The sequence below is a fragment of the Homo sapiens genome, chromosome 20 (assembly GCF_000001405.40).
Source record: "Homo sapiens chromosome 20, GRCh38.p14 Primary Assembly".
Lineage (NCBI taxonomy): Eukaryota > Metazoa > Chordata > Mammalia > Primates > Hominidae > Homo > Homo sapiens.
In genome coordinates, this window is record NC_000020.11 from 34716826 (window position 1) to 34744061 (window position 27236).

At 43.6% G+C, this 27236-nt stretch overlaps 1 protein-coding gene across 37 annotated transcripts in view; it reads right to left on the minus strand.

Annotated features, from left to right (window-relative positions):
* NCOA6 (nuclear receptor coactivator 6) overlaps positions 1-27236 on the minus strand; it is a 110878-nt gene that overhangs the window by 2052 nt on the left and 81590 nt on the right. For 13 of the 37 annotated variants that reach the window (NM_001438234.1, NM_001438235.1, NM_014071.5 and 10 more), the window contains 4 exons: positions 23538-26516; positions 19865-19933; positions 15734-15770; positions 10434-10582 (listed from right to left, as the gene is read on the minus strand). In NM_001438234.1, the coding sequence (NP_001425163.1) occupies positions 10434-10582; positions 15734-15770; positions 19865-19933; positions 23538-26516 (3234 nt within the window). Of the gene's footprint in view, positions 1-10433; positions 10583-15733; positions 15771-19864; positions 19934-22033; positions 22108-23537; positions 26517-27236 lie in introns of those variants that run through there. The other 24 variants (XM_047440055.1, XM_047440054.1, NM_001438233.1 and 21 more) reach the window with 7 other exon arrangements.

A 27236-nucleotide genomic window follows, 5' to 3' on the forward strand; every position in this document is an offset into this window, starting at 1 on the left:
TCTCCAAAGGTAAACACTTCTTTAGAATCTCATATTGACTTCAAAAGGTCACCTTTATTTCATATTCTGGTTTTAATATGAAAATAATGTTCTAAAATTACTTCTCATCAAGGAGAAAAAAAATGCTTCTAATATATCAATACAAAAGATGAATCAGATTTACCCATTTCTGGTAACTAGGCTGAATTTTCTGATACTGCATGTTAGGTTGTATTCAAGGCAAATTTTCCTTTGTCTTTTGTATCATAATATTTTGTGAACCCAGACTCTAATAAATATGTAGATTGTAAGGAAAAATTTCACTACTCTGTTAGCTAAGGTGACTGCTAAGAAGTGAGGCCTAGGCCAGGCGTGGTGGCTCATGCTTGTAATCCCAGCACTTTGGGAGTCTGAGGCGGGTGGATCACCTGAGGTCAAGAGTTCAAGAGCAGCCTGACCAACGTGGAGAAACCCCATCTCTACTAAATAAAGAAAATTAGCCAGGTGTGGTGGTGCATGCCTGTAATCCCAGTTACTCGGGAGGCTAAGGCAGGAGAATTGCTTGAGCCTGGGAGGTGGAGGTTGTGGTGAGCCGAGATTGCGCCATTGCACTCCAGCTTGGGCAACAAGATTGAGACTCCGTCTCAAAAAAAATAAAAAAATAAAAAGAAGTGCGGTCTAGATGAATTTCCAAGAGGTGCCCAGTACAGTAATTTCATTCAAGCCTCTGTTGGTGGAAATTTCAGTATGTTTGTCTTCTCAAAGGTCATGTTTTTTTTTGTGCCATGTGGTAGAATCAGTCTTTCTGATTTACTCATTAGTCTTTTACTAATCAGAAGACAGTTAATCTGCCAGGATGTTAATAATGGTGTTCTTTATTTTAATTCATGTAAATTAAAGAGTCTCACACAGCCCACATAACTCCCTAAAATCAACTCTTCAGGTCCAAATCTCAAGCGTTATTTTCACTGCAGCAAATTTGTCATTTGCAGTAAAAATAGGCAGGGTTTTTGTCTTGACAGTGTTCATCCTCAGCAAAACATTCATTAACTAGGTCAACTTTGGAAGCTTTTCCCTTGTTGTGATATGAAGGATCAAGTGGTATGTCTGAGAAACATATGTGGCTGGGAAAAGAAGTGGGTAGTGGGGTGTGGGGGAGAAGCAACCTCAGGCTCCCCCTCCTTCCTTGCTTGTTCCCATTTGTCACTGCTCCGAAGCACCCAATGAACTGGTAGGTTGCCTCTGAGCGTGAATCAATGAGTGGGGTCAGGAATAAACAAATGACTTGTGCTAGAAACTGCAAAAAAACCCACAAACACACCATTAAAAACCCTCATCTTTTGGATACTGTGGTTGGTGGGGAGAAGGATGTAAACTTTCATACTTCCATGAGGAAAAAAATAAATTTTAAACTGAGTTTGAAGTCTCTATCACCTTCCCTGGATAAATCCAGTCAATCTGAGACATAGAGCAAACCTCAGACTCAACATGTCTAAAACCAAACTTGGGATTTTCACCTCCAACAGTGAGGTCCTTTGCCACTGTTCCCCATCATGTCTGAAAAAAATCTGTCTGAAAAAAACATCTTTTGATGAGTTTTTTTGTTTTGGTAGTTGATTTTCTACTCCCTCCAAAATGTTACCACTTTTACTACTCTAATGAATAGGCAAATCACCTTTTTTTTTTTTTGAGATGGAGTCTTGCAAATTACTTTTTTTTTTGAGACAGTCTCGGATTGTCGCCCAGGCTGGAGTGCAGTGGTGCGATCTGAACTCACTGCAACCTCCACCCCCTGGGTTCAAGCAATTCTCCTGCCTCAGCCTCCCTAGTAGCTGGGATTACAGGCATGCACCACCACGCCCAGCTAATGGTTGTATTTTTAGTAGAGATGGGGTTTGGCCATGTTGGCCAGGCTGATCTCAAATTCCTCACCTCAACTGATCTGCCCGCCTCAGCCTCCCAGAACGTTAGGATTACAGAAGTGAGCCACTGAGCCTGGCCACAAATTACTTTAAGGTAAGAAATTCTAGGTAAGTGATGTAGAGGCTAATGATCCAGTCAGGGTGTACCTCAGACTGTGATTGGCACGCTGTTCCTAAAGGCTGCCTGGCCTGACTGTGAACCTACCTTCAGTTTTTTAACTATCAGGGATTTTACAAAATTAGTGTCTCTTAACAGATAGACAAATAGTTCAAACTCTAGCAGTGTAGTCAAATCATTTATATCCATGTCTTAGAACCAACTGGGTGGTAAAGAACTGGGTCAATAATAGTCTTTTAAGTGACTGTCCAACTATGTCACTGGGGGAACATTTAAATTTATAACCTAATAAAGGGATTTGTTTTTCAGCCTGGTTGCCTCATTTTGACCTTAAGCAAATTTGACCAAATCTACAGTACAAGGCTCTACTTAATCCTCTAGTATGTGACCTCTACCATCCAAGGAGCTTTAGAAATGGACTTTGACCTTGCTCACATCATTGTGCCTTTCACTGTACTATTTCTATCCGAGACGTCTAAGTAATTGTAAAAAATTCTGGAAATCGGCGAGATGCGGTGGCTCACACCTGTAATCCCAGAACTTTGATTAGCAGAGGTCGGCAGATCACTTGAGGTCAGGAGTTCAAGACCAGCCTGGCCAACAAGGCGAAACCCCATCTCTTCTAAAAATACAAAAATTAGCCGGGAGTGGTGGTGCATGCCTGTAGTCCCAGCTATTCGGGAGGCTGAGCCAGGAGAATCACTTGAACCCAGGAGGCAGAGGTTGCAGTGAGTTCAGATCGCACCACTGCACTCCAGCCTGGGCGACAATCCGAGACTGTCTCAAAAAAAAAAGTAATTTGCAAGACTCCATCTCAAAAAAAAAAAAAGGTGATTTGCCTATTCATTAGAGTAGTAAAAGTGGTAACATTTTGGAGGGAGCTCTCCAGCCTGGGTGACAGAGCAAGACTCTGTCTCAAAACAAACAAAAACATTCTGGAAATTTTCCTTCACAATTTGCATGGTTGGTTTCAAAATGAAGCTACTACAGTTTCAGGTGGTTACTCTTCAGGGTTTTCTCCCACGACATTATAAATGTATGTTCACTTGCATATCTACAGTAATACTTCTGTTTTAATTCAGTATATCTTTATACCCTGTGTTTTTTTAGACAGTTTCTTCACTGGCTGTGGGTAGGGTGGGGCTATCACCTACTTTGTTGTCAGAGGGACACCCAGGGCTGCTGATAATTACAGATTGCTCTGAACTTTCCTTAAATTAACATATTTTCCTGGTTCCAAACTTAAAGCTTTGAACTTCATATTTTTAACTACCTTTTAAAAAAATAATTACCTTTTTCCCAGTTGAAAATATAACAACAACTATTCTAAATGGAGGAGTAAATAATGATAAAGCAAGCTAGAAAAATCATTTGTGTTTTTGTGGCAAATTCATCATGTCAGGAAGGAAAACTACTCATTTGCATGTTTGTAAACAACACATCTGATCAGGTGCAATTTTAAAAAGTGATTTGTGGTAGCTAATTTTTGTGTAATTATAAGTGACCCAACCAACAAAAACAATGGACCAAAGAATGACCAAAAACCATGTGGGCCTTCCTGGACTTGCCCAGAAATCATCCATCCCACCTGCTCTGATCTGGCAGTCTGGCAGGCCTTGGCCAGCATGATGTAAGCAAACTCGGCTCTCGCAGCAGGAGCATGATTAATGTCACTGGTTCTCCAACAATACAAACAGCAACACTTTTAATTACAAACTGCTCATAGTGTTTCTCAGCTTCAGAGATTTTCATGAAAAACACAGAATGTCTCTGATTTTGTTTGCATATGATATATATGACCAAACTCTTATTAAATGCAAAAAGAAGCCCTCTTTCCCCCTCAAAACTTTACACAGTGCTGATTCTGCAGGAAGATACTTCACTCATATTTCAGGTACCCAGCACTGCATATGTCCCCACATTTGAGGTGCATCCATTTTAGAAACCAGCTTGATATTTGGTGATCACATTCTGGGTATGGGTTTAAATACAATCACAGTAAATTATTTTATAACTTGGTTCACATTTTTGGATACAATATACAGGCCAAAAATATGCATAATTATTCTTTAATTTGGCTCCAAGAGCTTTAATACTGAAAAACCAAAAGAGCTACAGTACTCATTTCTGATTTAAAAGGTAACTGTGATACTACAATATATATTTTTTGGTTTTTGTCCCACGTTCCTGGCTCACAGCTCCTATAACTCTTGTAATTTCCTAAGTGAGCCATCTTTTGTTAAAATATTTGGCCTTTTGCCCATGGTTCCTGAAACAGCTCTGAGGTTGAGTTGATCACAAATGGCCAACTCTTTTATCAATCATGCCTATGTAATGAAGCCCCACTAAAAACCCAAAAGGGACCTATCTCCCCTTCCCCTTCTTCCTCTATACAAAAAAAAAAAAAAAAAAAAAAAAAAAAACAACCCGCAAAACCCACAAAAGGACTGAATTCAGGGGCTTCCCAGAAGGTGAACGAGAACACATCTACCTGCTAAGAGGGTGGTGCACCAACTCCACAGGGATGGAAGCTTCTACACTTGGGATCCATCCAGACCTTGCCCTATGTATCTCTTCATCTGGCTGTTCATTTCTATCCTTTAAAAGTGGTCCCCAACCTTTTTGGCATGGACTGGGGGTTGCGGGGGAGACAGTTTCAGGATGAAACTGTTCCACCTCAGATTATCAGGCATTAGTTAGATTCTTATAAGGACTACACAACCTAGATCTCTCGCATGCACAGTTTACAGTAGGGTTCACACTCCTATGAGAATCTAATGTCACCTCTGATTTGACAGGAGATGGAGCTCAGGCAGTAATGCTCGCTTGCCCACCACTCACCTCCTGCTGTGCGGCCCAGTTCCTAACAGGCCACAGACCACTACCAACCAGTCCATGGCCCGGGGATTGGGGACCACTGCTTTAAAATATCAGGGCATAGTGGCTCACGCCTGTAATCCCAGCACTTTGGGAGGCGAAGGTGGGAGGATCACTTGAGCCCAGGAGTTCTAGACCAGCCTGGGCAACATGGTGAGTCCTGTTTCTACAAAAAATAAAGAATTTAGCTAGCCATGGTCATATGTGCCTGCAGTCTCAATTACTCAGGAGGCTAAGGCAGGAGGCTTGCTTGAGCCCAAGAGTTTGAGGCTGCAGTGAGTGATGATAGTGCCATTGCACTCTAGCCTGGGTGACACAGTGAGACCCTGTCTCAAAAAAAAAAAAAAAAAAAAAAAAAAAAAGCAAAAGAAAAAGCCGGCTGGGCATGGTGGCTCATGCCTGTAATCCCAGCACTTTGGGAGGCCGAGGCAGGTGGATCATTTGAGGTTAGGAGTTCGAGACCAGCCTGGCCAACATGGTGAAACCCTATCTCTACTAAAAATATAAAAATTAGCTGGGTGTGGTGGTACGCGCCTGTAATCCCAGCTACTTGGGAGGCTGAGGCACAAGAATTGCTTGAACCTGGGAGGCGGAGGTTGCAACGAGCCAAGATCACACCATTGCACTCCAGCCTGGGCGATGGAGTGAGACTCCGTCTAAAAATAAATAAATAAATAAATAAAATAAAAGTAAAAATTAAAAAAAAACTTTCATATGGGAGGCCAATGTGGGAGGATCACTTGAGGCTAGGAGCTCAAGATCAGCCTGGGCACACAGGGAGACCCCATCTCTACAAAAAAATTAAAAAATTAGCCAGGCATGGTGATGCACACCTGTAGTTCCAGCTACTTGGGAAGCTGAGGCAGAAGGATCATTTAAACTCAGGAGTTCAAGGTTACAGTGAGCCATGATCATGCCACTGTACTCTAGCCTGGGTGACACAGTAAGAACCTGTCTCAAATGAAAAAAAAAAAAAAAAAAATGCCAAGCACAGTGGCTCACACCAGTAATTCCAGCACTTTGGGAGGCCGAGGCAAGTGAATCACTTGAGGTCAGGACTTCGAGACCAGCCTGGCCAACATGGTGAAACCCCATCTCTACTAAAAAAAATACACACACACCCACACACACAAATTAGCCAGGAATGGTGGTGCAAGCCTCTGTAATGCCAGCAACCTGGGATGTTGAGGCATAAGAATTGCTTGAACCTGGGAGGTGGAGGTTGCAGTGAGCCGAGATTGTGCCACTGCACTCTGGCCTGGGCGACAGAGTGAGACTTTGTCACAAAACAAAACAAAGCAAGAAAAAACGAAAGAAAAAGCTGTATAATAAACTGGTAAACATGTTTCCCTGAGTTCTATGAGCCACTCTAGCAAATTAACTGGACCTGGTTACGAGGGGTTCATGGAAACTCCAATTTTTAGCCAGCTAGTCAGAAGCACAGGTAAAACAACCTGGGGCTTGCACCTGGCATTGGAAGTGGGCAGCAGTCTTGTGGGACTGAGCCCTCAAACCTGTGGATCTGATACTATCTCCAGGCAGATAGTGTCAGAATTGAATTGGAGGACACCCAGCTGGTGTCTGAGGCAGAACTGATGACTTGCTTGATGTGTGGGGAAAAAAACACCTTACATCTTGTGTCAGAAGCGTGTTGTGAGAGTATAGCAGGAGAAACTGAGTCTGTTTTTCTACTCATACACAGTAACTTAACCAGAGACAGTTAGAGAATGATGGCCTGAGGTCTTGCGACTGATGCGGATATCTATACATGACTGTGATTCCAGGGACAGGCCAGAGCTATGCCATTCTTTAGGGAGACACTTAGCACCCCTCCATGCAAGATCACAAAGCCTGAGAGTCATTATGGCCTCTTCTAAGCCAACTGCTAAGCCTCAGAGCAAGGATGTGCCAGGCTTTCCAACATCACCACTGCCACGGTGGGACAATGTTCAGTTTAAGTGTACAGGCTTATTCCCCATCCCCAACACCCCTTAAAAACAGGTTCTAGCTTTCCATCTCTTCTTGGCTGGTAGTTCTCTACAGAGCGGTTCTAGTTTGAGCATCTCTTCTTAACTGTCCCAGTTGCTTCTTAGATTCTTTCTGGTGCCCTGTAAATAACCCTTTAGTACCTTGAGGCTCTGGGCTGAGGTCAAGGTTCCAAAAATCTGGTGTGTGACATCTCTAAAGGCCAATACCTTTTCCCCGCTTTAAAGGTAATTACATACCATATTCTATAGCCTAGAAGATCTTACTCTTTTGGGAAAGTGAAAGGCTACAAGAACATGCAGAACTGAGGGGAAGCAGATTTTCCCATAGAACTCTAGGCATGTTCCCTTTTATGCTTTAAGTGTAGTACTTCAATATACTGAAAAGTGTACTCCCTTCCAAACTAGTTTCTGCCTAGAGATGATTCCCAGAGAGGAGGAATGAAGTTATTGGCTTCATATCTCCACCTAAAATGAGGATACCTAAGAGACCCTGACTGTGGTGTATACACTATTCCTGGAAAAGAAAGAAGGCCTCTCTCACCTTTGCCCCTTAACTCTCCAGCAGGCTGAGTATGGTGATGGTACTTTGTACACCTCAATTTTAACTGTATATGACCTCTGGCCTATTCCCAGAGGCTCTTGTGAGGCATCGTGACATTCTTGCCTAGAGACATAACCTGCCAACAGCAGCTGAGTCCTCAGATCCGTGTCTAGTGTCTAGTGTGGGTGCACCAGAATCTGCCTGGTCTTTAGGCTGGCATCCCAATGATACTTGACCGTTTCTCAGCAGTCCTGCTGATAATCAGGAACTCAGCCAGGATCCCAGCTCTTACCTTACCCAAACTGAACTACTCAAGCTCAGCACATTTCCTAAGAGAATGATCTGGTCACTGCCTCCTCATTCTTCAGGTCTCAGCTTAAATGTCATGTCATTTTTTTCTAGAAAGCCTTCTCTGACCTGGCAGAAGAGCAAGGTATCTCAGCTATATGCTCTTATAGTGCCATGTAATTTTGCTATCATAGCATTTAACATTTAACACAGAGTATTAGAATTCGTCTTTCAATGTGGTAAAGACAGAGACTTTTTTTTTTTTTTTGAGATGGAGTCTCACTCTGTTGCCCAGGCTGGAACACAATGACGCGATCTTGGCTCACTGCAACCTCCGCCTCCTGGATTCAAGCAATTCTCCTGCCTCAGTCTCCTGAATAGCTGGGATTACAGGCGCCCACCACCACACCCAGCTAATTTTTGTATTTTAAGTAGAGAGGGGGTTTCACCATGTTGGTCAGGCTGGTCTCGAACTCCTGACCTCAGGTGATTTACCTGCCTCGGCCTCCCAAAGTGCTGGGATTACAGGCGTGAGCCACTGCACGTGGCTGAGGCTCTGTCTTTTCACTATTATAACCTCAGGGCCTGACATGTAGTAAATATTTAATACATATTTGATAGATGGTTATTCATTTGATAATTACTGATTGGTACATCTCTGTATTTGGCACCATACTAGGCACCAGAGATACAGTAGTTCGCAAAATCAGACATAATCTCCTGCCCTAACCAAGTATACATACTAATTACCTATGTCACAAACTGGCATAGTTATAGCTGTGGTATTATGAAGAAGAACCTGGTGCTGTGATTCCCCATAGCAGTGACAACTGAGCTAAGATAAGTAGGAAGGGTGGGACGTTAAGGAGAAGAGAGGTGGGCAGAGAGAAGAGCACTCCCTGCAGTAGCTGCAACATATGCACAGGCTTGTGATCAGAGGAATGAGGACGGCATGTCCGACTTGCTAAGGGAAGTGGGATGAGGCTGGGAGATGACAGGGCCGAGACCACACAGAAGCTTGTGGGGTAGGTTGAAGCTTTTGGACTTTAATCCTAATTACAATGGTAAATCATTGAAGGGTTTTAAGCTAGTGGGTAGTAGTGAAGATGGAAAAGGGCCACCTGAGATAAAATGGGCAGTTTTTTGTGACGAGTTTGATATAAGGGTGAGGGAGAGAGGTATCAAGGAGGACTTGTCTAATGGATAGATGGTGGTGCCATTTATTGAGATGGGGTACAATGGCAGAGGACCTCACTGTTGGAGGTGAAAAATCACAAGTTTGGTTTTAGATATGTTGAGTCTGAGGTTCCAGTAAGGATGTGCATGCAGTTGTCTAAGATCTCTAGGGGTCTGTACTAGAAATAGAAATACAAATTTACAAGTCATCTGTGAAAGGCTGTTACTAAAGAAGAGGGGCATGACTGAGATCCATTAGGGAGAAAATACGAATTTGAAGAGAAAAGGTGACTCAGGATCAAAGTCTGAGGAAGGTCACCATCTAATGGCTGGGAAGGGAGACTGAGGAGGAGCAGCTGGAGAGGTGGTAGCAGAAGACAACAGAGAGTTCTTGGTCACAGAACCCAAGGGAAAAGTTAATTTAAAAAGGAGATAGTAGTCAACAGAGAACACTCACAGGGTAAGGTTCTTAAGAAGGTCAGAGGAGATGGGATCAAAGGCATAGATGGAGAAACTGGCCTTAGACTTGAGGAAGGACAGCTGCTCTATTATAGAAAGCACAAAGGAGGATACTGGTAGATTTATTTCTTGGTAGTGGGAAGCTGAGGGAATTCTATTTTCTCTGTGAAGAGGTCAGGGTCTCTACCAAGAGAGAGGGGGAGAAAGTGTGGACCAGAGGTTTAAAAAGAATAGAGTGGGAAAGATAGTTGACCATGGAAACATGGAAAGATAGCTGGGCCATATTCAGGACCTATCTGAAGTGGGTGATCATGAATTTAAAGTGGAATCAGCTGGGCGTGGTGGCTCAGCCTGTAATCCCAGCACTTTAGGAAGCTGAGATGGGCAGATCACTTGAGGTTAGGAGTTCGAGACCAGCCTGGCCAACATGATGAATCCCTGTCTCTACTAAAAATAGAAACATTAGCCAGGTGAGGTGGCACGCACCTGTAATCCCAGCTACTCAGGACGCTGAGGCAGGAGAATCACTTGAACCTGGGAGGCGGAGGTTACAGTAAGCTGAGATCACGCCACTGCACTCCAGCCTGGGCAACAGAATGAGACTCCATCTCAAAAAAAAAAAAAAAGTGGACTCAAGGCCAGGTGTGGTGGCTCATGCCTGCAATTCCAGCTTTGGAAGGCTGAGGCAGGAGAATTACTTGAGCCCAGGAATTCAAGGCTGCAGTGAGCTGTGATTGTGCCACTGCACTCCAGCCCAGGCAATAAAGTGAGACCCTGTTTCAAAAAAACAAACAAACAAAAACCAACAACAACAACAAAAAAACCCAAAACCCAAAAACCAGTGGAATAAATCTGCCCTGTTATGTTCTTTTTTCCAGCAGTGCTTGTTGCTCTTGAGTACACACACAGAAAACATACAGTTAAATGAACAAATAAAGGAAGGACCAAACAGGTAGTAGAAGACAAAGACACTTGACAGACTTCAGGAACAGAAGCAATGATGAAGGACAAAGTCTTCTACTGCTGTGGTAAGAACTCTATTCCTCTATTTGACCCACAAATAGCACCCACATCCCACTGCTAACCTTTAGTAGAGCTGGAGGCTGAAGCAGGTCGAGAAGATCGTTTACGATGTCCATTTTCCACACTTTCAGAGGCCACAGTTGGCTCTTCAGTTCGGGAGTTTCTTCGGCCTGGGATTTTGGACTTTTCAACTATCTCTTTGGGCTCACTGCTGACAGAGGGAAGCAAAAAGTTTCCAAGCAGGTGAGGGAACCAGGCCACACAAAAAACGGGCTCTTCAGATAGTTTCATTCGTAAAGTAGGAGACTAAGAACTATATAGTTATTCTGGAGAGAAAGCAGTTCAACCTGGGGTAATAAGCACTATTGCCTTCTATGTTACTGGGGGTTTAAAAGTGAGTCTAGCTTATTACATTAGTAAAAATAAAATAGTAAAGCATAATGTTGGTGAAATTGTAGAAAAACTGGTAAAAGACATAAAAAAATTGGAACAAAACTCCCCTAATTCCTCACCCATTTTCTTTTCTTTTCTTTTTTTTTTTTTTCCAGACAGAGTGTCACTCTGTCGCCCAGGCTGGAGTGCAGTGGCGCTGTCTCAGCTCACTGCGACCCCTGCCTCCTGGGTTCAGGCAATTCACCTGCCTCAGCCTCCCGAGTAGCTGGGACTACAGCCATGTGACACCACGCCCTGCTAATTTTTGTCTTTTTAGTAGAGATGGGGGTTTCACCACACTGGCCAGGATGGTCTTAAACTCCTGACCTCAAGTGATCCACCCACCTCGGCCTCCCAAAGTGCTGGGATTACAGGCGTGAGCCATTGCACCAGGCCCCTCACCCATTTTCCTAAGGTAATAGTTCCCTTCAAAAATTAAAACATTTTGGATTTTGTAATTTTTTAGAATCATGAAAATGGTCTTTAAGATGTCTGAAAATTGCTATTAACTCAAAATAGTATATAAACCTAGGAAATTATTAACATATATTGGCATTTACTAATGATCCCGGTAGAGTCAGATAACAGCATATTAGAAGCCACAGTATGGGGATAATTCACAATACACTGCTAGGTATATTGATTGTCCACACCCCAACCCCCTTTTCTTAGTATATGAAGATTTAAAATTGGTAATATTCACTGTTATTGAGGATACAGGAACAAAAACATTTACATACACTCCTAACTGGAGTGTAAATTGTATAACCCAGTGGTTCTTAAAAGGAGGCAATTTTGCTTCTTAGGGGACATTTAGCAACATCTGGAGACATTTTTGATTGTCACAACTTGGGGAGAGGGGTGCTACCGGAATCTTTTGGGTACAGGCCAGGGATGCCACTAAACGTAAGCCCCACACAACAAACAGTTATCTGGCCCCAAAGGTCAATAATGTTGAGGCTGAGAAACTCTGGTGTAACCCTTGACTCAGCAATCCCACTTCTAGGTGCCTAAGGAAACAAATCTTTTTACAGAGCTCCACACATAAGGAAGTTAAAACATTTTATTTGTACTAGTGAAAACAGAAGACCTAAATACCTAACGATAGTAGATTAGTTAGCTAAATCATGGCACATCCATATGGAGTCATGAAAAATCATGTTGTAGATTATTTAATGACAAAACGATTTATGACACATTACCAAGTGGGAAAAACTTACCAACACAATGAACAGTATAATTCCATTTTCATTGTTGTATGTGTTGAGTATATATGTAACTACATATGAATAAATATGAGCTATATACACATAAATCTTTTGTTGTTGTTGTTTGTTTTTGAGATGGAGTCTTGCTCTGTGCCCCAGGCTGGAGTGCAGTGGCAGGATCTCAGCAAAGTGCAAACTCTGCCTCCTGTGTTCAAGCAATTCTCCTGTCTCAGCCTCCTGAGTAGCTGGGATTACAGGCATGCGCCACCACGCCTGGCTAATTTTTGTATTTTTAGTAAAGATGGGGTTTCACCATGTTGGCCAGGCTGGTCTCGAACTCCTGACCTCAAATGATCCACCTGCCTTGGCCTCCCAAAGTGCTGGGATTACAGGTGTGAGCCACAACGCCCAGCCCTATACACATAAATCTGACACAATATATTTGGGTGCACACTGTGTGAAAAAGACTAGAAGCAGATGAACTAAAATATATGTACAGTGAATATTGTTGAGTTGTAGGAATACTAGTTTACTGGTGAGTTATTTTCTTCTTTGTAATTCTCTGATCTGAATTTCTGGTTTTCTTTAATAATTTTTTACACTTTCATGGTTCAAAAACGCATGTTAAAATGATCAGAAAAAAAATTCTTTAGAAAATTAAATTTGCTTGCAAGACATGTAACAAATAAAAATAATGCAACAAAACAAAACAAAACAAAACAAAACAAAACAAAACAATACTGGTCAAAAGGCTGCCTCTTCTGGGAAGTCTTCCATGATCTCATTTCCCAAGTAGAGCTGTCTCTTTTGTCTCTTGGGTTCACAGTCTTTATCTGGCATTCTAGAGCACCCATCAGATTGTACATCGTGTTCTATTTTAATGTTTTGTGTCTTCAACTAGACTGTGAACCTCTTAAGGACACAGACCATAACCTGACTGTCAACTATCCCTACCCTTCCACTGTTCACTCCTGCCAGAGGACCCTTTGCTAGTAGCACCGTGGTTGGGAACTGGGACACACCATTCACTCCCATAGCTTTATGTATAACAGCCGCCCGACACCCAACCATAAGCCAAGGTAAGTCAAGGAGAGGTGAGGCTGGAGCTGGGGTGGAATTACAAGTCAGGGGGATTTATACCTCCTTTGAGAGGTGGTGAAGATGGCTTTCTGGCTAGGAGCTCAGAAAATGGTCAAAGCTTCTGAGGAAAGAAAGTTCTTTTTTTAAAAAAAATTTTTGTTTTTTTTTTGAGACAGGATGTCACTCTGTCCCCCAGGCTGGGGTGTGGGTAGTGCAATCATGGCTCATTGCAGCCCTGACCTCCCAGGCTCAAGTGATCCTCCCACCTTAGCCTCCTGAGTAGCTGGGACTACAGGCAAGTGCCACCATGACCAGCTAATTTTTTATTAATTTTTTATTTTTTATTTTTTTTTCATAGAGACAGGGTCTCCCTATGTTGCCCAGGCTGGGCAACTCCTAAGCTCAAGCAATCCTCCCTCCTTGGTCTCCCAAAATGCTGGGGTTACAGGCATGAGCCACTGTACCTGGCTAGATGATTCCTAATGAAAGTGCCTCTTTCTCCTGGCAAAACAAAAGCCACAGCAAGACTATCCTGTTTTTTATGGTCAATGCTCAGGTATCTCTGGAAACAAACACCCCAAATGTATTTTTGGTCTGATTAGCTTCTTTCTCTAGACAAATAGCTGGTGCATGCTTGAGAAATGCAGATGAATTCAAACATTAGCCCAATCCAAATAAAATCAGACAGGCAGAGTGGTATAGTAGGAGTAGCAATGAATTTGGAATGAGATGAACAGGGGTGAAGTCTTAGCTATGCATTTATTGACTATGCTATTTAATGCTCTATGTTCTAGACTTTTTTTTTTTTTTTTTTAAGATAGAGTCTTACTCTGTTGCTCATGTTGGAGTGCAGTGAGCACGACCATGGCTCACTGCAACCTCGACCTCCCTGGGCTCAGGTGATCCTCCCACCTCAGCCTCCTAAGTAGCTGGGACTACAGGCACATACCACTATGCCCAGCTAATTTTTTGTATAGACAGGGTTTCACTATGTTACCCAGGCTGGTCTCAAACACCTGGGCTCAAGCCATCTGCCTACCTCGGCCTCCCAGAGTGTTGGGAGTACAGGTGTGAGCCACTGAGCCCGGCCGTTCTAGACTCTTTTTTCTTTTCTTTTCTTTTAGACAGAATTTCACTCTGTCGCCCAGGCTGGGGTGCAGTGGCATGATCTCGGCTCACTGCAACCTCCGCCTCCCAGGTTTAAGTGACTCTCCTGCCTCAGCCTCCCAAGTAGCTGGGATTATAGGCATGCGCCACCATGCCTGGCTAATTTTTGTAGTTTTAGTAGAGACGGGGTCTTACCATTTTGGCCAGGGTGGTATCGAACTCCTGACCTCAAATGATCTGCCTGCCTCGGCCTCCCAAAGTGCTGGGATTACAGGCGTGAGCCACTGCACCCAGCCTCATTCTAGATTCTTGATCTATAAATCCCATCTTGTCTGTTGCAATACATAGGTTAAATATCAGGGCTCTGAAGTCAGAAGGCTTGGGTTTGAATCTAACCTTCACCATTTACTAATTCTGTGACCTTGGGCAATTTAGTTAACCTTTCTGAACTTTAGATTTCTCATCTATAAGACAGAATTTACTTTCCTAATAGATACTGTGAAAATTAGATGAGATAACACATCTAGGGCACTTGTAGCTCAATCTATTAAGGATGCATGGCATGGAACAACATTCAAATAAATGGTGGCTATTAACCTCCTCACAGGGATGATATGAAGATTAAATGAAAAAAATATTGTGAAAGTGTCTTATGAAGTTGCTGTACAATTATGAGAAGTTCTTTAAAATATTATCCAGTGCATTCCTACACTAAAAGAGACAAGACTGTGTGTGGTGGCTCACACCTGTAATCCCAGAGGCTGAGACGGGTGGATCACTTGAGGTCAGGAGTTCAAGACCAGCCTGGCCAATGTGGTGAAACCCCGTCTCTACTAAAAATACAAAAATTAGCTAGGTGTGGTGGTACATACCTGTAATCCCAGCTACTTGTGAGGCTGAGGCAGGAGAATTGCATCAACCCCAGAGGTGGAGGTTGCAGTGTGCCGAGATCGTGCAACTGCACACCAGCCTGGGTGATAGAGCAAGACTCTGTCTCCAAAAAAAGGCATGACTTTTGGAAAATGGTAATATTCCTCTCCACAGAGCTAATGAAGTTGAAGCCATAGATGTATGTCATTTTGTAGGGTTATGTGGAGCAGCACAGTGTAACAGAAAAAAGCATAGGTTTTGGGTCAGATCCTGCCTGGCTTTCTCCTTCTTTTGCTTTCAGGGTCAAACAACTGTTCTTTAGAAGACAGCTGCAAGGACTATTATTAATATTAATATCAATGGTAACAACAGCTCCCATATATTGAACATTTACTATTTCCTCATTATGCAGAACATGTTATCTCACTCAGCTTTGAAAACAACCATAAAAGGTAGAAACTTGGCCTCCAGCTTTTATTAAGAGAAATGTTACCTCTGAGGGATTAGGACTCATGACAGCTCTCTACGTTAGCAGTAAAAACAGACTGGTGCAAGAGTGAAGGAAAAGGACAAGGTGAAGAGAGGTTTAAAGACTGAGACAGCTGATACCTTTCAAAGAGGCTTATGCTGTGTTCATGCTACGTCTGCAGAAATGATCATCTTACCTTTGTCCAGAGACTATGGCAGCATTTACCTCCAGCTCTGCAAAAAAATATAAAGGATAGAAATGAAATGTGGGAGCTGCCACAGAGAGAAGCTAGGAGTCTACAAGAATTCTCTATGCCCTATTTAGGCTAAAGTGTCCCTGTGCCCAGCAGGATTCTCACCCTACATGGTATGGAGACAAAGCTGGCACAGATACAACTTGGTTTGTTTGGGACATAAGACACTTGGTCTATTTTTATTTCTACTCCACATGGTGAAATAATCTGTTTGGATTAATAGAACTAAGTTCACCCTTCCTTGTTCATATTTCATCCAGTTACAACCAGGTTAGCAAAATAAGTCTCTTCCTCTCATGTGGAAGAGACCGTTTTCATTTTAAAACATCTCCATCCACCTTGTTGCCACTTTTTTAAAAAAAGCAATCTTCAAATATGTCTTGAACATCTATTAAGGATGCATTCTTCTCCAAAGGACTTCCTCACTGAGTTTTAGAGGGCACAGTGCTTTGCTTTCAGATATTGCCTTTACACCCCATTCTATTCCTTTCTTTCTCAACCTCCCAGCAATGCCCTCCAAGCAAGGAAAATCTTAGTAATCTGTCTAGCAGGGTTTTCCATCAATGAGCACACTCTGGGTTTACCATGCACTTCTTCCTCAGCACCAGCAGAAAAACATTTGCTTTCTCTATTATGTGCCTTTAGGTAGTTCCATCTTTTCCAAAAGCCTTCCCTGATGTACCAGATAGCAGTGATCTATCCTGCCTCTGGCCTCCCACAGCCCTATTCCTGTTCCCCCATTGAGGGAAGTCAGCACCTCATTACTCAGTGTACATGTCTAACCTACTCTACTAATCACATGGTAACCTTAAAGGCAATGAAGTCAGAGTGCCTGGTTCAAAATTTTGACTTCAATGCTTATTAGCCATGTGACCTTGGGTAAATTATCTGACATCTCTGTGCTCAATCCCTTACCTAAAAAATGGGAATAATCACATTACCCACTTCAAAGTTAAGGAGATGAAATAATGCATGTAGAAATTTTAGTATGGCACCTGACACTTAGTCATAACTCAATGTTATTAGCTATTATTATTGCTATGAAGATCAGATTGATGCAGCCTTTCATGTAAGGAGGTTGGACTACTCTGCCTTTAATGCAAGGTGCTAGTAGAAGGGAATCTTTGATGGGAGGCTGAGGCAGAGGAATCCCTTGAACCCAGGAGGCAGAGACTTCAGTGAACCGAGATCATGCCACTGCACTCCAGCCTGGTGACAGAGCAAGACTCTGTCCCAAAAAAAAAAAAAAAAAAAAAAAAAAAAGGAAGGGAATCTTTGCTTCTCATTGCTGTTTAGCCTCCTGTATTTGTACCCACAAAGCCTGAAAACCCATCCACAAAAAATAGATACCAATTCACTGAGTCTCTGCTACTTTGCTGGCTTGGCTGGAACGTATAAACTCAGGTAATGTGTGCTCAAAAATGAAAATGACTCAAGTCAAAAGAAGTGCTCACCCTCATTGTTTTTTATTTTTTTGAGACAGGGTCTCACTCTGTCCCCCAGGCTGGGGTGCAGTGGCACTCACTGCAACCCCCACCTCCAGGGTTCAAGCGATTCTCCTGCCACAGCCTCCCGAGTAGCTGGGAGTATAGGCACGCGGTACCAGGCCAGCTAATTTTTGTATTTTTAGTAGAAACAGGGTTTCGCCATGTTGGCCAGGCTTGTCTTGAACTCCTGGCCTCAAGTGATCTGCCCGCCTTGGCCTCCCAAAGTCCTGAGATTACAGGCATGAGCCACCGCACCTGGCCTATTTTTATTTTTTGGGGGATGGTCTCACTCTGTCTCCCAGGCTGGAGTGCAATGGGATCACAGCTCACTGCAGCCTCAACCTCCTTGGGGTCAGGTGATCCTCCTACCTCAGCCTCCCAAGTAGTATGCATGCCAAGCCCAACTAATTTTTAAAAATTTTTTGTAGAGATGGGGTTTTACTATGTTGCCCAAGGTAGTCTTGAACCCCTCGGCTCAATCAATCCTCCCATCTCAGCCTCCTAAAGTGCTGGGGTTAGAGGCATGAACCATTACACCCGGCCTAGTTTGCTCTTCTTTTTTTTTTGAGACAGAGTTTTGCTCTTGTTGCCCAGGGTGGAGTTCAATGGCGCAATCTCCGGCTCACCGCAACCTCTGCGTCCCAGGTTCAAGCGATTCTCCTGCCTCAGCCTCCCAAGTAGCTGGGATTACAGGCATGTGCCACGACAGCCAGCTAATTTTGTATTTGTAGTTTGGGGTTTCTCCATGTTGGTCTGGGTGGTCTCAAACTCCCAACCTCAGGTGATCTGACCGCCTCGGCCTCCCAAAGTGCTGGGATTACAGGTGTGAGCCACCGCGCCTGGCCTAGTTTGCTCTTTTAAAACAAGAAAAAGTTTGATGCTTTTGAGAATCTTAACACTATCACTGCTGATTCACAAGTAGAGATCAAGAAGGTTTGATGAAGGTAATCAGTGGCTCTGAGGGATGTTAAGGATAAGGAGATTCATTTACGCCAGACTTCCAAATGGAAGAGGATTCTTCAGCCAATTACTGTGAGAAGGGGGAAAAATGATATGGTAAATCCTATTTTCTAGAGTAGGGTTGGGGCAGGAAATGGAATTCCCTTTCCCTTTAGAGTTACTCCTTTTCTTACCAAAAATGAGTTTTGCTGTATGACCCCTCCTTTAAATAACGTGCTCCATTCCTACCCTTCTCAAATATCCAACACAATGTCAGGTATCATGTGGGCAATTGGCAGCAAAGAAAGAATCTGGGTGGCTGGGCCGGAAGTAGTGGCTCATGCCTGTAATCCCAGCACTTTGGGAGGACGAGGCAGGTGGATCATGAGGTCAGGAGATCGAGACCATCCTGGCTAACATGGTGAAACCCTGTCTCTACAAAATATACAAAAAATTAGCCAGGCTGGTGGCGGGCACCTATAGTCCCAGCTACTTGGGAGGCTGAGGCAGGAGAATGGTGTGAACCCAGGAGGCAGAGCTTGCAGTGAGCCGAGATTGCGCCACTGCACTCCAGCCTGCGTGACAAAGCAAACTCCATCTCAAAAAAAAAAAAAGAAAAACAAAAAGAAAAAAAGACTCTAGGTGGCTGAAATGTTTTTTGCTCGCACACTATTTTCAGAGGCCTGATTTTATTCAGAGTGTGCAGTAGAAAGTCCTATCAGTCACACAGGATGTAGCATTCTGAAGTAGGTTTTAAAATAATCACAAACTATACCTTACTTTTACTGGCTCAGATTCACAAAATTAAGCATGGCTACTATTGCTTTTTCTTACTAACTTTGTCAAGTGTGTGAATTGTAGTTTCAATGAGATTCTTACCTCTGTGGGGACCAGTCATACTTTTTTTTTTTTAACTCCTCAATGATCTACAGTGACAAAGAATCAGGCGAAACTAAACTGTACCATATCTGCGATATTTATCTGCCTCCATAGTCTATAAAGGCAAAACAAGGGCTGTGGCTGCCATCATCCTCATGTATTCTGAGCTGACCCTGATCCCACAGCAGTTATTTGTCAGATTACCATGGGATCCTACTTCCAGAAATATCATCCCTTGTGCTATTTACAATATATTGGTCATGGGGAGAAACTTAATGCCACCCAGAGACGACTGAAATGACTCTGCCTCCCTGGAGGAATGGCTATCACATTGTGGCAGAGACTCAATGAACAAGACTCCACTACTGTCATAATAAAATTACAAAGTGCGTTAATGCTTGCCAGCCCAGTAAGTCACCATATGCCAGCTATTCAGCTGCCAACCATGGGTGCCAGGGTCACAGAACAGGGAAAACTCTGCAACAGAAACCCATGGCTGGGTGGCAGACAGACAATGGGCACGGAATTGCCCTTCTTGAGTTCCCTAGCTGACACTATGAATGCATGAGAGAGCAAGCTGGTCGGGGGGAAAATAATCTCAAGTAGAACTGCACAAGCTTTGTCACTCAACCAAAGTCTGCTCTGAAGCAAACAGATAAAATAGTTCCTGTCACTTCCTGGCATAAGAACACACGACATTGAGGACAGCAGTAGTTCCTTCACATGTAACCCATCCCACTCCAAGAAGTTTTTCCAAAGTACGCCTTACCTGGTCTGGCAACAGAGGCCTGCAGTGCTGTGGTTGAAGTTTCCTTTGAGACTAAATTCTGCGACGGGGCTAAGGCAAGGAAAAAAAAATTACAGACCTTTTACTTTCTTTTCTAAACAAAAAGAAAGCATTAACCTAATCAAGGGCTAAGTAACTGCTGAAACAATGTACTCTTAGAGGGCAGTACTCAAAATTGGCCTCGAAATTACAAGTACATTTTAAAACTTACTACAAAAATTAATTACCATAACACCCAGTACCAATGACTACCATTTAGGGGTATAGGCTCTTCCTTTTTGTATGTATAATAATAAGGGGAAGAGATGGCTATAAGAACATAGCACTCACATTTTCTGCTTCTTGGGGTCAGGTCCTGACCACTACTTGAAAAAGCCCCAAAGCATATCTTAGTAGGCAACCCAAACCATAGAGGTACAATTATACCATTCCCCTCAGCATTTAAAAAATCTAGCCTCACTCCCTAAAGACTATACTCTATGAGAGTGGAAATGGTCACATAATTTTGTACTTTTCTATAGCACTTAGCAAAAGTGATGGGCATAAAGCAGGCATTCAATTCATACATAATAAATAAATAAATTTGATATGTTATTTACTTATCTAACAAATAGTTGCAAAGAACTTACTAGGGGCAAGGCACTGTGCCAGGTACCCTGAGAGACCAAACTATATCCTCTTGCACATCAGGAACTCAGTCTAGTATTAAAGATAAGATATATACATGTAGTGCACTTGAGTGCACTCTGATGTCATATGAAGGAGTCACAAAGTATAAAATACTACAAAAGTCCAAAGCAAGAGTTAGCAATTCTAGGTTGAGAAATCTGAAGGTACATTAAAGGGAGAAACATCAGAATCAGGCTTCAAAGGACACAGAGAACTTAGGCCCTTAAGGAATGGAATAAAATATGTAATGCCCTCTAGAAGGGAACCATCCTGGAAGATAAAGATTATGGCATGGATATGCCACAGTCACATCTTGACATCTCAGTCTAAAATCCTAGATAAACTCTGCAACAACATGTTTTACTCTCTTGTGGAAACTGAATTTTGTATATTTCCCTCCCTGCTTAGCAAAGCAGTAAATTATGCATTTGTGTTTAAGAATTTATTTTGGATGCTTATCTGATAAAGCTTAAAACTATATCTTAACTTCTACTTTTAACTTTAGTGTTCATTTCTCAAATTTCCTTTTCTTTTTCTCCTGAGACAGAGCCTTGCTCTGTTGCCCAGGCTGTAGTGCAATGGCAGGATCTCGGTTCACCACAACCTCCGCCTCCTGGGCTCAAGCAATCCTCCCACCTCAGCCTTCTGAGTAGCTGGGACCACAGGTGCATGCCACCATGCCCAGCTAATTTTTACATATTTTTTTTGTAGAGACAGGGTTTCGCCTCATTGCCCGGCATGGTCTCAAACTCCTGGGCTCAAGTGATCCACCAGCCTCGGCCTCTCAACATGCTGAGATTACAGGCATGAGCCACCGTGCCTGGCCAATTTCTCATATTTTCAAAGTAAAAGCACAGAAGCCCCTTGAAAAAGAACAGAAACAATCACTTATAAGCAAAGTGAGTGTTCTTAACTAAAATTGAGAACTTTTCCCAAGTGCTGGTTCATCTCCTCAAGGCCCACATATTTCTCTAGTATAATATATGATCCAGATAAAAATAATTTCTAATTACTTCATCATTTTTCTCTTGATACCAGAGGGAAAAGTCTCCTGAAAGAAGGAGAAATGGAAATACTTAATAGTGAAGGATATACTTAATTTACACCAGGTTCCCTTTTAATTCTTAGGGTTCATCTACACCAACAGAACTAGAACAATATACAATAAGCACCCAGTCTTGTGAAGACTGTCTCTTGTAAGAGCAGCAGACTTCTTGAAGGCCTTTATCCTGCCCCCATCTCTCTAACACTGAGGTGAAGAGGCAGAGAGAAGGGGAATTAACCTTTCCAGAGCTCTGCGTGAGGCAGTGTGTTGGCCACTTGACAAATCTTCTCATTGAGTCCTCTCTCAGAATCCTAAATTCTGGGAGGTAGAATGTACGATCTCCATTTTACAAGTGAAATACATGGCTTAGGAGAGGTTAAGGAACGTATCAACTGTAACTGGTAACCAGTGGGCTAGAATTTGAACTCTGATCTTACCCTGAAGTTTGTGTTCTTTCTGCCTCTCCTCCTGGGTGCTTACCACTCAGTGGTAGGCACTCGAAGCATTTTAGCTGCATAAATAAGATAGGCACTTAATTAGCTGGCCTAGGATATCGTAAAGGTCTTTCCCAGCTCTAGCAGTGTGTGACTGACTCCACTCTGGGGAAATAGAGCTTCTTCACTTAAGCCTCACAGGAGGAGGAACATGTCAGGGAAGGGAAGAAGGGAAGGAGGGGCGGTTGTAAGGACACCTATGCTTCCATCATTAGCCCATCTTAACAGTACATAGGAAATAGCCTGAACTAGATACACAAATGGAATGTACCAATCAACAAAGAGATTACATCAAAAAGAAACTGGGAATAACAATTTTTACCATTTATTGAATAATAATTATATGCTAGGTTCTGTGCTAAGAATGTTATATGTACTACCTTATTGAATTCTTACAACTATTATTGTTCCATATTACAAAGGAGGAAACCAAAGTCTGGAGTGGTCAAGTAACTTGCCCAAGCCCATATAGCTGGTAAATGCTGGTGTTATAATACCAACCCAAGCCTACTGGCTCTTGACCACTTTGTTTCTACTGTGTCCATTATCATGAAACCCAGTTTTCTTCCAGCTCTCCTCTAGAGTAGCCCAGACAAAAAAAGAATGGTTCCTGAGATAGAGTACAGTGAGAATGGGGCTATGAGGACCCATTGTTCTGAAATAGTCATGAGCAAATCTTCACCCTGGTAAAGAGAATCTGCAGAAGCTGCTGTTCACACTTAAGGCACAGTGTTAAATGGGAGGTTCACAGTATAGACTCTGAACAAACACTGAACGTCTTTGAGCTTCAATCTTCTCACCCATACAATGGGGTTAAGAATATCTGACATAGTTGGTATAAAGATGATGCAAGACAACATATGTAAAAATGCTTCCTTATAAATTGAAAAACTTATATAAATGAAAGGTATCATTATTTCAGGAACTCTTTGTTTTGAGAGCCTTAGCTCTCTGTTTTGTTTTTTTCAGACAGAGTCTCGCTCTGTTGCCCAGGCTGGAGTGCAGTGGCATGATCTCAGCTCACTGCAACCTCTGCTCCCAGGTTCAAGCTATTCTCATGCCTCAGCCTCCTGAGTAGCTGGGATTACAGGTGTGTGCCATCATGCCTGGCTAATTTTTGAATTTTTAGTACAGATGCAGTTTCACCATGTTGGCCAGGCTGGTCTCGAATTCCTGACCTCAACTGATCCACTCACCTCGGCCTCCCAAAGTGCTGGGATTACAGGCGTGAGCCACCGCACCTGGCCCTTAGCTCTCTTTAATGAATGCAAACTTAACATGGGATTTAAAAGCATATTTTCCAACGTACTTTCAATAAATAAAACTACTGCTATTGCCATTTAGCCCATTCTCTTTCCTCCAAGTAAAAAAGGAGTCATGCTTTCTCTTGTGGGATTAGGTCATCAAAAAACTGACACAAAGAGATGATGAAGCCCCAAGTACATACCTATGCTGGGTAGAAGTTCTGGATGGGATCCCACCTTCTCCTCCACTAGGCCACCCGCAAGTGACTCAGATGCTATGCCACCATGATTGCTTTTTGTGGTCGGTACGGCGGAGATGAGCTCGGAGGGTACCAGAGTGGTTACTATCGAGCGTACACTGGTGGGGAGAGCACCGCCAGGTAAGCTGGGTCCTGCTGAGGCAGTGCCCGGGCCCACAGGGCTAGAGGTCATTTTTAGCAGAGTGGGTGCTGGGGGCGTTGGGGTTTTACTGTCCAGCTCTGTGGATAACTGCTCTGTTCCCATGAGCCCCGGAGCTGTGGTGTCTAGCCCTTGGCCTTCAGTCTCTCCATCTGCACCATATTGTTCTTCCCCTTTCTCAAGAGAGCCTGTAACTTTCTTACATGCCTTGGTCAACAAAATTTGGCCAATTTTGTCCACTTTTCCTTTGCCCTTACTAGACGAGACTGGGCTTCGCCGGTTGCCAGAGGACCCTGGACTATTGGTCAAAAGGGGAGAAACCATTGTGGTTGACTGTGAAGAGGGAAGAGTGTTCTGATCTGCTGAGGTGTTCACCTGAGGGCTAGCCTCATCTGGATTCAATTCTTTCACTTGCTGCACAGGGGGATGAGAAGGGACAACTGGAGAAGACGTACAAGGAGGGGAAGGAAGCTGAACAGGGGTGGCTCGTGAGCTAAGGACCAAAGGTCGACCTGTCTGGATGTTTGGAGCAGGACTACTGGAGAGGGCATTAGGCGGTACAGGAGCAGAAGAAAATTTTATGTTCTGAGGTATGTGTAAAGGGCCAACAACTGCAACAGAGGGAGGCATCAGGCCAGAGTTGGTTGTCAGTGGGGCTGCAGGAATTGTGCTTGGCTGTGATCCTTTCATAACCTGAATTATTGAGGATGAATTGATAAAGACAGGTGTAATGAACTGAGGCCGGGCATTAGACTGAGCAGCTGACTGTCCCTCAGAAACCATAACCTTGCTACCCGCATTGGGCATTGTGACAACTGTTGACATCAATGCAGACTGCAAGTGAGTTGGCAAAGCTGCTGATGTGTTAGCTGAAGTTGTGATGGGATTGGAAGTGACAAATACAGTTATTTGATTTGGGGGCAAGGGAGTGGAAATGGAGGAAGAGCTAACAGGTCTTGACATTACTGGAGGGATGCTTGGTGCAACGTTAGAACTGACCTCACTCAATTCGGGATGCACAAGGGATGAACACAGCTCATTACTGTGAGGTAAGTTTAGGGAATTAGAAGGTTCTTTAGAAGAAGACAGATCCTGCAGTGTGGGAATGACAGATGCTTTTTTGAGGTCCTCCCCAGAAACTACTGGAGGTGTTACTTCCAGATCTGTAAGCCCAGGGGGTTTAATTGTCACATTGGGAGCTCCAGAGTTGTCAAGAAGTTGACTTAACGATGTTGGTGCTTCCCTCATAGCAGGAGACACCAAATTTTTGTTCTCTTCGACACTGGGAAGTTTGTTAGGATCCGAAGGCTGCCCATCCTTTTTGGACTGATCTTCAGGGACAACCATTTTAACTTCTTGGGCAGGGACTGCTTTTAGTTCAATGTTTACCTGTTCCTTCCTACTCTGGGAATTCTGGCAATCACTGTCCTGAGGCACATTCAAGCTCTCCTTGTTATCCTCAACAACACCCCCAACTGCAGCCACAGACACAGTAGAATTCTGAGGATTCAGCCCACTGTTGTTAGGAAAGCTCCCAGGTACAGGGGGATTGGCCAGAGGAGTGGGACTGACCAATACATTTCTCGGCAACTCCACATTCTGCAATAGGGCTGCATTTGTCTGAGAGGCCAGAGTAAGTTTAGGGGCTTTTGAATTTTGCCTCCCAGGGCTTGGAGTGGTTTTCCTACTGGACCCAGGACTAGACCTGCGACTGTTGCTTGGACTTGCCCGTTTTGTTGCTCCAGAATTAGACTGCTTTCCAGAATTCACTACCACAGAATCTAATTTGTGAGTTTGTGGGGTAGCAAAATTGGAAGGATTCATGGTAAGATTTGAAGGTGCTTGCCCGATGGCCTTCAAAGTTGTTGGATTTAGGCCTTGTTGATCAAAGCCCCTGTTTAAATTTGGCCTAGGAGGTAAAGGAATATTAATCTGTGGAGGGAAGAGTCCTGCTATGGAGGCATTGAGTCTTTCTGGTGACAGACTGATTTCTGAAGGTTCTGTGCTGGGAGGGCGGTTGTTGGGTGTCTGAGGATAATAGGGTCTGGGGCTGGCTCTGTTTGGTGTTTTGGGCCTAGATGTCTGGGTTGGCGCAGCCACATTTGGGAAGTGGTGGCCGTGAGAGCTGGGCAGGGAATTTACAGGGGGTTGCTGGGGAGTTGCACCTTGAGTTGCTGAAAGGGGCGATGGTCCAGGTTTTGGCCCTGTCATCATTAACTGATTCTGGGGAAGTACTACATGTGAAGGCATGTTGTTTGGGCCTCCTGGGACAGATGGTGCTTCACTGCCACTTGCTTCAGGGAGTGAGGCCATCTCCGCCAGTGGCGAGCTGGAAGGATTCTGCGGGCTCTCCTGATAGACCATTTTCCTTGAATTGCTTCCCAAGGGAGTATTCACAGGCATTGGCATTCTTTGTTTATCAGGTGATGGTGGCACGGAGGCAGGTCCTTGCAGACTGACCATGACAGGCACACTGCCACTCTGTTGCATGGGCATTCTCTGGGAGTCGGGGTTCAGGGGGCCCCTTGGAGGATGGACATTTTGAGAGACTGGAAGCCTAACTGATTTGGGATCCTGCTGCATCATGAGCATCATCATCATTTGTTGCTGCTGCTGCTGCTGCTGCTGAGACTGTGGCTGACTGGGAGGTGGTGGCTGCTGCTGCTGAGGCAGTTGTGGCTGTGGCTGCTGCTGTGGTGGCTGTGGTGGGGGTGCCACATGCTGCATGAGTTGAGGAGGCATCTGCTGAAGTGGCCTCTGTTCAACTGGTTGAGAAGGATAACCTAAAACAAGCCCCCCAAATTAGGGAAGTTAGATTTTTCAGCAAGAAAATGTTGCTACCTTTAGAGTATAGCCAAGCAATACTCATCTAGGTGGCACAGACTATGCACAAACAGCTCAGGCATGCCCACTCCTGGGGCAGGGGGCAGCCCCTCATTACTTGACATAAGCAAAAGGGGCACAGTGCTTAAGGAAGCAAAAAGCAAAGCATCAAAAAACCTGGAGCTCCTCGGTGTGTAGGATCTGAATGAGCCATGACTGTACTAAGAGCCTGATTTTCTGTGCTATGCACTGAAAATGGCTGTGTCTATACCAGCCAAACATTCAGATGAAATGAGAAAAACTCCATCAACATCAAGTGCCTGGCCACCCAAGATTCAGGTCTCATGTAGTCATAATCAATATTTCAATGTACTTGTGAATGAAGTAAAGCATTTAGGATTCACTTCTTCTGTTAGCACAGGAATAATTTTTTTAAGATGTGGTTTTGTTGAAAATAACAGCACTGAAGACAGCCTTTTTATTCTTTCAACAGAAGTAAAATATAAAATTCTAGGATTCAGTTCCTTAAGAAAGAGGAATTTAAAATTATTCCAATTCATTGGCTCCATACACTACGCCGCATCCTTCAGGCTTAATCCTTTGGGGGAAACCGACTGAATTAAAATTGCCCTTCAGGTGTAAATCAGTTTAATAAACAGTAGGAGCTAATGGAAGCTGAT